This window comes from Homo sapiens, chromosome 17 (assembly GCF_000001405.40).
Source record: "Homo sapiens chromosome 17, GRCh38.p14 Primary Assembly".
Classification (NCBI taxonomy): Eukaryota; Metazoa; Chordata; class Mammalia; order Primates; family Hominidae; genus Homo; species Homo sapiens.
In genome coordinates, this window is record NC_000017.11 from 46,035,682 (window position 1) to 46,048,473 (window position 12,792).

Genomic DNA, 12,792 nt, shown 5'->3' on the forward strand with positions numbered 1-12,792 from the left:
CAAGAAATGCATCTTAAGAAAGCCTCAAGAGAGACAGCCTTCCCAGTATCTTGGTCAAGAATAAATGTGAAACTGCTGGCAGAAACAGGTATACACTTTCCCTGAAACTTCTTGGGCTTGTTGTTAGTACCTTCGAGAAAAAGATACTGGAGCAGGTTGTGGGATGGTTCAACGGGCTCTTATCTCATCCTCTGCCTAGACACACCCCCTATTATGTTAGCTACTCATTAGGTCTAAATTAACTACTATCTCCTATTTAGAGCCAGAGATAGAGAGCAGGTGATGAGAATAAAACTGGTTCCCAAACTTGGTTGTATATCAGAAGCAACATTAAGGAGTATTTTTTAAAAAAAAAAAAAAGGTTCTAGGACTCCCCCCCGCTCTTTTATAAAATCAGAATTTTGTTTGTTTGTTTGTTTAAGAGATGAGGTCTCACTATGTTGTCCAGGCTGGACTCAATCTCCTGGGCTGAAGAGATCTTCCTGAGTAGCTGGAGCTACAGGCATGCAATATCACAGCCAGCAACAAATCAGATCTTTAGAAGTGTCTGGTTGGTTGGTTTTGTTTTTTAAAGCTGCTGAGGTGATTCTGATGCAGCTACTGGCTTTTGGGAAGCACTGACAAAAACACTCGCTCTCCTCCCTACCTTTCTCCAGTGTCCTCTGGCTTCTTTACTTGATTTCAAGGAGAGCTGGCCCTTTGTATCCATGGGTTCAACCAATTGTGGATTGAAAATATTTGGGGGAAAAAAATTGTGTCTGTACTGAAAAGGTACAGATTTTTCTTTTCATTATTCTCTAAACAATACAGCATACTATTTTTATAGCATTTACATTGCATTAGGTATTATCAGTAATCTGGAGATGATTTAAAGTATATGGGATTTAAAGCATACACATAGGTTATATGCAAATACTATGCCATTTTATATTAGGGACATGAGCAACAATAGCTTTTGCTATCTATGGGAGGTCCTGGAACCAATCCCCACTGCAGATACTGCAGATACTGAGAGCCTGCTGTTATCTGGCCTATCTTCTTTCTTTTTTTTTTTTTGAGACGAAGTCTTGCTGCGACGCCCAGGCTTGAGTGCAATGGCTTGATCTCCGCTCACTGGAACCTCCGCTTCCCAGTTCAAGTGATTCTCCTGCCTCAGAGTAGCTGGAACTATAGGCACATGCCACCACGCCCAGTTAATTTTTGTATTTTTAGTAGGGATAGGGTTTCACCTTATTGGCCAGGATGGTCTCGAACTCCTGACCTCAAGTGATCCACCCGCCTCAGCCGCCTCCCCAAGTGCTGGGATTATAGGTGAGCGCCACTGTGCCTGGCCTATCTTCTTTTACATAAATCCAGAGTCTTTGAAAAAACTTGGCAATGAGAGAGCCTCAGGGGTTAGCATAGTGCTATACACAAAATTTTTACTCAATAAATGGTAAAAATTTCAAGTGATCCAGGCCTAAGTTAACATTCTCCAGACACAGAAATATTGAAGTGCTCACCAAGTCCTGAATCTCTGAGTTCAGATTTTCTATCAGAATTAGTTTAGACTCTTTTTTATAAATACTTTGGTTATCTGAAACCCTTTGCTGCTGGATAACTGAGTATGTGAGGGACACTACACACCTATTTAGATAAAATTTGTGGGTTACGGGGGTAAAGAAAGTCGAAGAGCAAAGAGACCATTTGGAAAAGATTGATTTGTAACAGCAAAGAGAGAACAATGTGAATTCCTACCTGATCACAGGAGCCTAGTGAGTCCATTTTATGAGCTTGGAAGTTTCCTGATCTAGGCTCTGAAGGAACTTCCTAAGTTGCCTCTGCAATACCCTCACCCAGGCTTAGCCTGTGTAGTGTAATGGTAAAAGAGCTGGCTCTACAGTCAGGCTGCCTGAGTTTGAATCATAATTATAACCCTCACAAGTTGCCTTGACAGTTTTCATGCATATAAAATGAAATCCACAGTACCAACCTACATCTCAAAAGGCATTATAACATGTAACACATGTAAATCACTGATCACTGGTATGTAGTAAGTGTTCAATAAACATTACAGTTGCAGACTTTTACATTTACCATTACATTACATTGTAATTATTATACAAAAAGGACCCTTTGAGTAGGTCCATAGCAGCTACAGGTATGTATGTTCCAAGAGGGCACACTTGAGGAATTAAAATATTAGAATGAAATTAAAGGAAATGTGTCTGGAATAGCTGTGCAAACTGCTTCCAGATGGAGTGTGGTATCGTAAAATCTGGTGTGTGCATGCCAAATGTCCTGCCATGGGGGCCTGCTGGATCTGTAATTCTGCTCTGTATACCTAAAAAGCATGGACTCTGCCTTCTCCCTTCCCTTCTCTTCTGGTACCCTCACGCCTAGTGTTTATTCTTAGTACTTCACCTCCACTCACCCAGAGAGTAAAACCAAGGAAATCAAACACTGCTTCCAACGCCCATGGGAATCTCCCCTCTACCCACCCCTCCTCTCTTGTTCACTTCTTGGGCCAACAGGATTAGGGCCACGGAACTGTTGAGTCCTGTGTGAAACTTAGTCCAACAGATCTTGAATAGTCACAGATCACCTTAAGAGTTTGTCCCTGCATCAAGCTTTCTATGGATGGCTCAGCATAAATCCATCTCTGCTATGAAAAACAACTCAAGAAAAACAACAGAAGGTCAAGTACCATGACTTTGACTTAAAAATGGTACAGACATACATACATATGTCATGATGAGCTGAGATCCTATAAATGCCCTGGGCTTTATAACCCACCCTCACACTGTCCTCTGGAGCCACTTGAGTGAGCTGTGACCTGCAGAGGGGGTGTCCGGCCAACCCCACACAGGTACTTACCGATGTGCTGGCTGTAACCTGTGAGCTAGAGCTGGCGGGTGCAGGGGAATCTGAGGAGGTGGAGAGCTGTCGCACCAAGGGACTGTGTGGAGGATGGTGGGTGGCTGCCAAGTAGCTCGAACTGCTCATGTCTGTGTGATGCTTCAACACTGCAGAAGTCAACAGAAAAGAGAGAAATACATGGCTATCTTAACCAGCGTTACTTCTAACACAAGCTTGGAATGGCAGCAATACATACTAAAGGCAAAAATGTTTTCTATGCCTAGAGGATAAAAAGGTGAAGCACACTAGCTGTGGGAAGTAGGGGCAGGGCAGAGGTTGCTGTAGCAGTTAAGAAGTGACCTCCATTTAGAAGCAGTAGCGTCCCTCTACTCTGCTTTCCTAGAAAGTGAAGGACAAAGCTGGGGGTAATTAAGAGAAGCCTAGGCTGCCCCAGAAAGCCCTGAGCAGGTGCAGTTGCAGGTAGAGGTGCCATGGGCCTGGCCCTACCTTCACTTCTCTCAGATGAATGGTCTCGCAATCTCATTTTGCTGTGGTTTGGGTCATGCACGGGTGGTGGTGGGTTGAGCAAGCGCTCTGCTTTTGGCGCTGTCACTCGCTCCACCATGGGCACGGCCCCCACATCGTCTAAGTGCTGCCTGTGGGTCCTGTCAGGCCGGGTTTGGTGATGGGACAGCTCTGAAGAGGGGAACAGAAAAAGAGCTGTGAAATATGTCCTCTCAAATATTTTCTTATTCGAGTTCCAAGCTCTCGAGTTCTCTCTAGGCCAACGCCGTATACCCAGGGCAGCAGGACAGTCCTTCAGGACTGAAGTTTCTAGTAATTTGCACAATGGCTAGGATAGGCACAGGGAGCCCAGAACCAGAGAAACATGTCACCAGGATACAGAAGACACCTGCCCGTAGATGAACTCAATGCCATGCCATTGCTGGCTGTTCACTGAGCATTTTGGGTCTTGCTCCAAGATCCATGGTGTCTAGAATAGCTCCCGAAGTCCATCTGAGAGCATCCAAGACAAGCAGAAGCAGTCACTGTGAGCTGAATTTTTTATCGGTCAACTGCCTCTCCCAACCCCAACATGCATGCAAACTACAAATTTGAGAATATAAAAGGAATGAAAAGTCACTGATACTCTGGGGGACTTCCCGGCTCCCTGACACTTACTGGCTGTTGTTAGGAAGGAGCTGACCAATTTGTGCCTGTCCTTACGAGCTGAATCTGGCAGACTGCCCGGCATGGGTGCTCTGTGCTTAAGCGATAACTTTTTGGGAGGTTTGATTTTGTCAAAAGGCTTGTTCTGCCACTGAGATTTCAGCATGCTCTGGAAATGCAGGCTTGTGGGAACATCTGCAAGAAACATAAAATGCTACAGGTTAGTCCAAACACCTGGCCTCTCTAGTGTTCAAGACCTACACTCCATCCTCCTTTAATTTGCCCAGTGGCCTGACACTTGGCAGGGCAAGTGCTGTCATATGGAAGATCTGTTTACGTGAACATTACTGAAGGTCATTCTTCTATTTGCAAGCAGGTCACTTTAGCTTTTTACTTTCAAGTCCCAAAGGGAAACAAAACAAGACACCTTTTTGGTTTGGTTGATGGAGTTTTTGTTCTTGTATCCTTGTTTGTTGAATTTACTGGTTTGAAAACATCCTGTTTCTATTCTAGAGATTTAAAAACATATTTAAGCCTACTTCTTTTCTATCAATATAAAGTTAATCAGGATGCAATTATTCAACAATATTCATTATCTATGTTATCAGGCACTGTACTGAGTACTACATACTCTCTCCAAATAAGAACTACATACCATTCTCTCTTTCCTTCCTCTGTGGCTCCGCCAATTCCCATCATGAGATTATCGGGGATTTTTAGCTGACTGGTTAATGTTCAATATCACAAATCAACATCTTTTGGACTGAATTTTTTATGCTGTTTCTTATCTTTCCATTTTCTTAGATTTTTCCCAAGAATATATCCTTGAGCAATTCCTTTAGAAAAGGAATTTCTAGATTTAAACCATTTTCCTCTCAAACATTTAAAGCTATTCAATTCTTCCGTGTATTCTAATATCCAGTGCTATATTTAAGAGGGAATCGGATTCTTTCTTACTTGTAGGTGGTCTGGTTTTTGCCTTTTAAGCTTCTGCAAAAAACAACAACAAACTTGTGGTATTACACTGACTCTACAGATCAATTTGGGGACAACTTCCATGTGTTCCACCACCAATACTGAATCTTTCAATCGACTGACGTGGTATCTCTCTCTCCATCTATTTACGTTTGTCTTGATTTTCTCTTGACAGCGTTTAGTTATTGTTGACATACCGGTCTTAAATACAATTTGTTAAGTTTATTCCTAAGAATTAATGTTTTCTGATGGGCAGAAGTTGGAAGAGTTTGCAGGGTTCAGAAGAAGACAGGAAGATGAGGGAAAGTCTGGAACTTCTTAGAGATTTGTTAAATGGTTTTGACCAAAATACTGATAGAAATACGGGCAGTGAAGGCCAGGCTGACAAAAGTCTCAGATGGAAATGATTAAAGATAGTACCTTTTAAAATTTCAACTTCAGTTCTTCATTACTAGTATATAGAAGTACAATAAACTGCTATATAATGACCTTGTAGCCTGTGAAACTACTTCGTTATAGACTTTTTCTTGTTTATTCAGTAGGATTTTCTATAGACATAAGTACATCATCTACAAATGGAGACTGTTTTACCTTTTCTTTCCAATCTGTATTCCTTTTTTACTTCTTGCCTATTACTCTGACTGGAACCTCTGGTGCTGATGTACAACTTTTAGATTTTCCTTTTCATGTTTTCAATATTCTGACATTTCACCACCATGGATAGCGGTGTGAGTCTGTTTTCAAGCTTCTGCAAAGCTTTCCAGGGATATTCAAATCTAAAAGCCAGCACATTTTTCCTCACCTCCCAGTTCCTCCTGGGAATCGGTAACCACTTGGGGCATGCTCAGAAGTTCCCGCCAGAGTCCCTATCCACTGCTTCAGAATAGAATGAAACACCACTACTTCAAGGAAGAAGGCTCTGGTGGGGTGAGAGGACAGGAAAGGAAAATCTAACCTAGCTATTCCAAAATGAGTCCAAATTTATCACCCAGACAAATGCCCAGGTCCTATCACTACTCCTTCTGCCCTTTAATTCTGGGTCAAAAACCTCCTGTAATCAGTTCCCACCTCACAGCAACTTACTCCTGGCATGTGCTTTGGGCTATCTTTCTATTTATTTCTTCACAGTTATCTTGTCTTTATCCATCTTTCAAAAATAATTACAAATTCCAGTCACTGATAGCATGTCTTCTAGAACTATTAGAAATTTATTTTGTGTGTGTGTGTGTGTGTGTGTGTGTGTGTGTATATTTTTTTTTTTTTGAGACGGAGTCTTGCTGTCGCCCAGGCTGGAGTGCAGTGGTACCATCTCGGCTCACTGCAAGCTCCGCTTCCCAGGTTCATGCCATTCTCCTGCCTCAGCCTCCTGAGTAGGTGGGACTACAGGCACCCGCCACCTCGCCCGGCTAGTTTTCTGTATTTTCAGTAGAGACGGGGTTTCACTGTGTTAGCCAGGATGGTCTCGATCTCGACCTCGTGATCCACCTGCCTCGGCCTCCCAAAGTGCTGGGATTACAGGCGTGAGCCACTGCACCCGGCCTGTTTAATATATTTTCTAAAAGCTTATGGGGTTTTGGGTCCCATAGAGCACAGAGGATATGCTCAATCTGAACTGAGGATAAGAAGGCAGGGAAGAGACGTCTAAATTAACATTACTGAACCCATTATTATCTGCCAGGCACTGTGTGTTTATCATCATGCGTGTGCCACTTAATCTTTGTAACAGTTCCATGAGGCAAACACAATTATGCTTATTTTAAAGATAGGGAACAGGTGCAGAAAGGTACATTAACTATGTCCAAGGTTACATAGTTTAATGAGTAACAACCAACTTTCAAACTCAAGATTATACAACCCTAAAGCCCATACTCTTAGACAATATACCTTGAGGCTACTCACTGATCCAGAGGATGGAGAGGATTCTGTAGTAAAGTCAATTATTTCTCAAATTACTCCCAAGAAATAGACAGTACAAAATATTTTCCAAGCCAGTTCTGCAGAGTAAAAGAAATTTAGCCACTCCTGCCTATGGTATAGATGATGAATTTCATGACACTGAATGTTATGCCTTCGAGGACTGAATGTTAGGCCTTCCAGGACTGGAATAAAAATCTGAGTTGGGGAAAAAAAAAAAAAAAAAAAGCTAACATTCTCAGGGATGATTTTTCCCAGTGGGTAAGCACCCTCAGCTCCATGATTGCTGGGCTTTATGACAGTGAAACAAATTAGGAAAACTATTAAAGTTTTAATGAAAACAAACATTTGCTACCTGTCCAAGTGTAAAAACACAGTCTCTGAGGACAGTGCTGTCTTCTCAAACATTTTTCATAATCACTCTTTTCCACACTTAAAAACTCAGCTATACCAAATCCTAGGAAATAAAGCATTGTCTAGAAGCATTCGGCCCTGTAAAACAATCTGAAAGCTGGGCTGAGCTGGAATGTATAAAAGAGGCTCAAGAAAGGAGACGAGGTCACTTCTGCCCATCCCACAATACCCCTTTGTCAGCAGAAGAGTTACTCCCACTTGGCAAAGGCTGTGTATGTTTTGTATATATATGTAATGGAACTCCAAAAAACATAGATTTTATTTTTTCCTTTTATTTTCCCCCATCGTTCTCCCAAATCTGAAAATGAAGCCAGGAAAAAAAAAAGGGACAGGGATATGAGAGACCTGGTTATAGTGAAAACAGCAATGACTAGAAACAAGTAGGCCTGGATTCAGGTCCTGGTTCTATCTCGAGTAGAAGGAGAAAGCAAGAACAAATCATTCAGCTGGGCTTTAGTTCCACCTGTGAAATGAGGCAGTGGGGCTAGATCAGGGCTGGCAACATTCTAGCATTCATTCTCTAACCCTCCTGTTGTACTGGAGGTACAAACACAGCTGTCTTTCCTGTTGTACTGGAGACCTCAGATTCTTCCCAAACAATACATTAAATAACTCCAGACAGTTACTGTCAATTCATTTGAATAGGCACAAGAAAGGACATCTATTTGTTACTGCTAGATTATATGACTGCTATGAGTCTCTCAACTCTAAAATGTTTAGTCAATGACTCTTCAACTGGAACTCCACTCCTAAACCCTTCCCCTCAACTAAATGCTCTTAAGTGCAAGTTGGCACATTGTAGAACCCAAGTCATGGAACACTACCTTGTACTCTCCAGTTGACGTATTAAGCGGAATCAAGAGCGATTCCTCTTTAAACCCAGTATAAACAGTTTAAGGAACTCCAGCTGCTAGACTTTGTTAGAAGTTTGCTGTGTTGCCTTTTAATTGCTTCCATGTTAAGAGTGAACAGGAACCCAGTTAGATCCCCCAGTCAGTAAAAAAAAAAAAAAAAGATATCTTAGGAATTGCTGGTTGAGTTCATATACTAACTAGTAAGTGATAATACCTAGGTTCTGTGAAGAGTTAAAAATCTAAAATAGACTGGATACGGGACCTGAAAGTAAGCAAAAAAAGGGATATGAAATGGAAGAGAACACACCAGAGATCCATTCAGCTAGAGGTCTCCTACATTCCATACCCACATAGGTAAACTGCTATTTTCAGAGAAGAGGGTGCTGATCCTTATCAGGTAAATAACAGGAAAATAAGACGAATTACTAATGTCATCCTTAAGTTACTGTTTCCTCAAACAAAATGAAAGATGAATGAGAAGACCCTGACTTCAGGATGACTAGGGTCTGACATTCCACGATTCACCTGGCTGTCTGGCTCCTTACTTTCCACCATTTTCTCAGGCGCACTTTTTCCGGGTGTTTTGTAATGCTCACTTCTTCCTCCTGCTGGGAAGTTGCTGTAGCCTCATGTGCAGGGTTTGGCAAGCTCTCTCAAAATACCACAGATCTTCATGGCCAGCAGGTGGTGCTCTTATTAAGCCCCTTTTATAAAGTTAACAAGCTTTTCTCCAAGGTTATATATCCTCTACATTTCCAACTAAGGATTAACTGGATTTGATTACTTGAGGTGATAAAACAAAGCCCCCTTCCTGCTGGAATACTAACAGGTTATTATACCCTAGTCTCTCCACCTTCCACAGCCAGGCGTAGAGTTGGCTATAACACAGTCCCTCAATTTCTATCACCCACACACACTTAATGAGAGGGGCTGAGGTACAGTCAAGGTGCGAGGCACAACTCCAGGATGAAAAGCAGCAGTTGGTTGTTATTCTAACAAACTACACAAACTGGTTAGGAAACAGCACTAAAACTACTTAAAAAAATATCTGTCCTATGGGGCCAGAAAACAGCTAAGTATCACATTCAAACAATTTTCTGCCTTTATGTCTGGTATAAATGTAACTATATGGAATCAATGAATCAAAATCATTTTTAACCTTGTTATGAAAAAAAAAAAAGTTGGAAATCCTGCCACTTTAAAACATCTTCTAGAGAAGAGGTTGTAAGGGTGGCCCAGTAGTAAAATCTACCACACAAATGTTTGACCTACACAGTCGTATGCCAAGCTGCTAGCCTTCACTGTTATTTACTGCTATACAATGATGTACAGGGAATCCCAAGACTTCAGGGGGTGTGTTATTTACACGGGATATTATGTGAATGGTGCCCTTTGGAGTTGGCTATCTCTGCACCCATGGGAATCTTCTGATTTCCAAATGGACTGCATTCTGAATGTGGCAGTTGTTTGGGTCAAAGCAAAATTATTCCAACAGGAATAATATTAGACATGGTAATCAGGTCTTCAGGTCAACCAACTGAGGTGTAATTAATCTACAGGCAAATACAGTAGTTAATAGAGCCTACATGTAAAAATATATATATATCTCCACAGTCTCATAAGGAGAATTTAATGACCAACTTTTTCGTCCAAACCCCAGGGCCATAGCTAGAAGCTCTTCGTGTGTGTGTGAGACATAGACAGAAAAACAAATAGGATTAGATGCAGGAAAATAAAAACCATAAAGACCAGAAAAGGGGGAGTGTTCCCTATCTTTCTTTCCATTCCCCCTCATTGCTGCCTGTAGTTGCTCTGAATGATGGTGTGGGAGGTGTAAGGTATGCGGCAGGGCAGCATTCATGTCAGATCTATAGTGTCCTGCAGTCAGCAGGACAGAAAATGTTCAAGGGAAATGGAACCTCTTAGTAGAGATGCTGAATGATGGAACAGGAGCTGAGAGACACACAGTCTGGGTATATCTGAGGGTGGGGGAGGTTATTTGCAACTGTATGTGGTAATGCTGTTGACAAAGAAATGACTGTTCTGTTTAGCAGGTGATATCCAATGAGTGTGCTTAAGTGTCCGGGCTTCCTGTCCTTCTTCAAGTATGAGACTATACAATTCAACACAGTAATTCAGAGAGTAACCCAACAAACATTCCTAAGTCTTCCTAGTGGCGCTGTCTGTAGCCAGAATCCCAAAAAGGGTAAAAATCTGACTCCTCTTAATAATCTGTCTGGAAAGGAACTTGAAATATAGTAAAAGGAAGGACAGGCATCAGATAATCTGGGTCTGAACTGTGAAGGCATTCAAACCCATTAGCCATTTAGTTTTAGATAAGCCACAACCTTACCAAGCCTGTTCCTTGAGCACTAACACTGAAGTAACACCTTACAAAATTTCTGGGCCGGGCATGGTGGCTCATGCCTATAATCCCAGCACTTTAGGAAGCCAAGATGGGTAGATCGCTTGGGCCCAAGAGTTTGAGACCAGCATGGGCAACACGGGGAAACCTCTTCTCTACTAAAAATGCAAAAAATTAGCCAGGCATGGTGGTGTGCACCTGTAGTCCCAGCTACCCACTGAAGTGGGAGAATCACCTGATCCTGGGAGGCCGATGCTGCAATGAGCCAAAAACCACACCACTGCATTCTAGCCTGAGTGACAGAGTGAGACTCTGTCAAAAAAAAAAAAAAAAAAAAAAAAAAAAGCCAGGTGCGGTGGCTCATGCTTGTAATCCCAGCACTTTGGGAGGCCAAGACGGGTGGATCACGAGGTCAGGAGTTCAAGACCCTCCTGGCCAATATGGTGAAACCCCCATCTCTACTAAAAGTACAAAAATTAGCCGGGCGTGGTGGCGCGTGCCTGTAGTCCCAGCTACTCAGGAGGCTGAGGCAGGAGAATTGCTTGAACTTGGGAGGCGGAGGTTGCAGTGACCCGAGATTGCACGACTGCACTCCAGCCTGGGTGACAGAGCAAAACTGTCTCAAAAGTAAAAAAAAAAAAAAAAAAAGAATTTTGAAAGCAGCATATGAGACAAATATGAGAAGAGTACTACAAACTTTAAAATGCTATACAAATAGTAACTGCAGTTACATGGGCTACATAAATCCAATGGCAAGGGAAGGTAAAAGTCAGTGACTCTGGAATCTGAAGCACAGAGGAAAATGTTTTAGTGTTTTCCACTCATTGTGTTCAAGTTTATTTATTGCTCCACCAGCTCCTGACTATCCATGTGTTCCAGGTTTTCTGTTTCCTTTCTCTTACAAGAAATCACATGGCCACAGGAATATTACACCACATCCTTATCACAGCTAGGGGGTTTTGGTAACAAAAGCCAAAAATCCCGGTATCTACTGGATTTAGGTGGCCAGAAATGCAATCATTTGAAGAACAGATGCAGAACAGGGGATTATAGTTATCTAATGTTTGATCAACTGTCAATTAGAAGGATTCTCTCTAGGACAAGGGTTAGCAATGATTGTTTTTATAAATAAACTTTTGTTGCAACACAATCAGGTTCATTTGTTCACATATTGTCTATGGCTGCTTTTGTGCTACAATGACAGGGTTGAGCAGTTGTGACATGAACTGACATCAATTATATGGCCTGCAAAGCCTAAGATATTTACCATATGGCCCTTGAAGAAAAAGTTCAGGCCGGGCGTGGTGGTTTACACCTGTAATCCCAGCACTTTGAGAGGCCAAGATGGGTGGATCACTTGAGCTCAGTTCAAAACCAGCCTGGGCAATATAGCAAGACCCCATCTTTGTAGGGGGCGGGAGGCGGGGAAGCAGGTTGTGGTGGTGCACACTTGTAGTCCCAGATACTTAGGAGGCTGAAGTGGGAGGACTGTTTAGAGCCCAGGAAGTCAAGGTTGCAGTGAGCTGTGATCACTCCACTGAACTCCAGCTTAGGGCACCGAGCAAGACCCTGTATCTAAAAAATAAAAATTAAAAAAAAAAAAAAAACAAAAAAAAAACTTACAGACTACCTGGGAGATATTATGAAGAACAGCATGGAGCCCTTATCCTCAGGGAGATTACATCCCATCCCTTCCCCACTCCCCCCGCCACCAAGACAGGGTCTCACTACCGTTCCCCAGGCTGCAGTGCATTGGCTCAATCATGGCTCACTGCGGCCAAGACTTCCTGGGCTCAGCTGATCCTCCCACCTCAGCCTGCTGAGTAGCTGGGACGACAGGCGTGTGCCACCACGCCCAGTTAATTCTTGTGTTTTTAGTAGAGATAGGGTTTTGCCATGTTGCCCATGCTGGTCTCAAACTTCTGACCTCAGATGATGAACCCGCCACGGCCTCCAAAAGTGCCAGGATTACAGGTGTGAGCCACTGTGCCTGGTCCCTAAAATTTAAATAACAGAAAGCAAATACACAAACAGCCATAACATAATTCATTAACATATTGATAAAACACAATAGGGTAGGTGCAGTGGCTCCTGACTGTAATCCCAGCACTTTAGGGAGGCCGAGGCGGGTGGATCACCTGAGGTCAGGAGTTGGAGACCAGCCTGGCCAACATGGTAAAACCCCATCTCTACTAAAAATACAAAAAAATTAGCCAGGCGTGGTGGCATACGACTGTAGTCCCAGCTACTTGGGAGGCTGAG

At 42.6% G+C, this 12,792-nt stretch overlaps 1 protein-coding gene across 30 annotated transcripts in view; it reads right to left on the minus strand.

Moving 5' to 3' along the window:
• Nucleotides 1–12,792, minus strand: part of KANSL1 (KAT8 regulatory NSL complex subunit 1) — a 195,452-nt gene that overhangs the window by 5,766 nt on the left and 176,894 nt on the right. For 21 of the 30 annotated variants that reach the window (NM_001405883.1, NM_001405882.1, NM_001405881.1 and 18 more), the window contains 3 exons: nt 4,021–4,203; nt 3,346–3,534; nt 2,857–3,005 (listed from right to left, as the gene is read on the minus strand). In NM_001405883.1, the coding sequence (NP_001392812.1) occupies nt 2,857–3,005; nt 3,346–3,534; nt 4,021–4,203 (521 nt within the window). The remainder of the gene's footprint in view (nt 1–2,856; nt 3,006–3,345; nt 3,535–4,020; nt 4,204–12,792) is intronic. The other 9 variants (NM_001405885.1, NM_001405884.1, XM_047435800.1 and 6 more) reach the window with 1 other exon arrangement.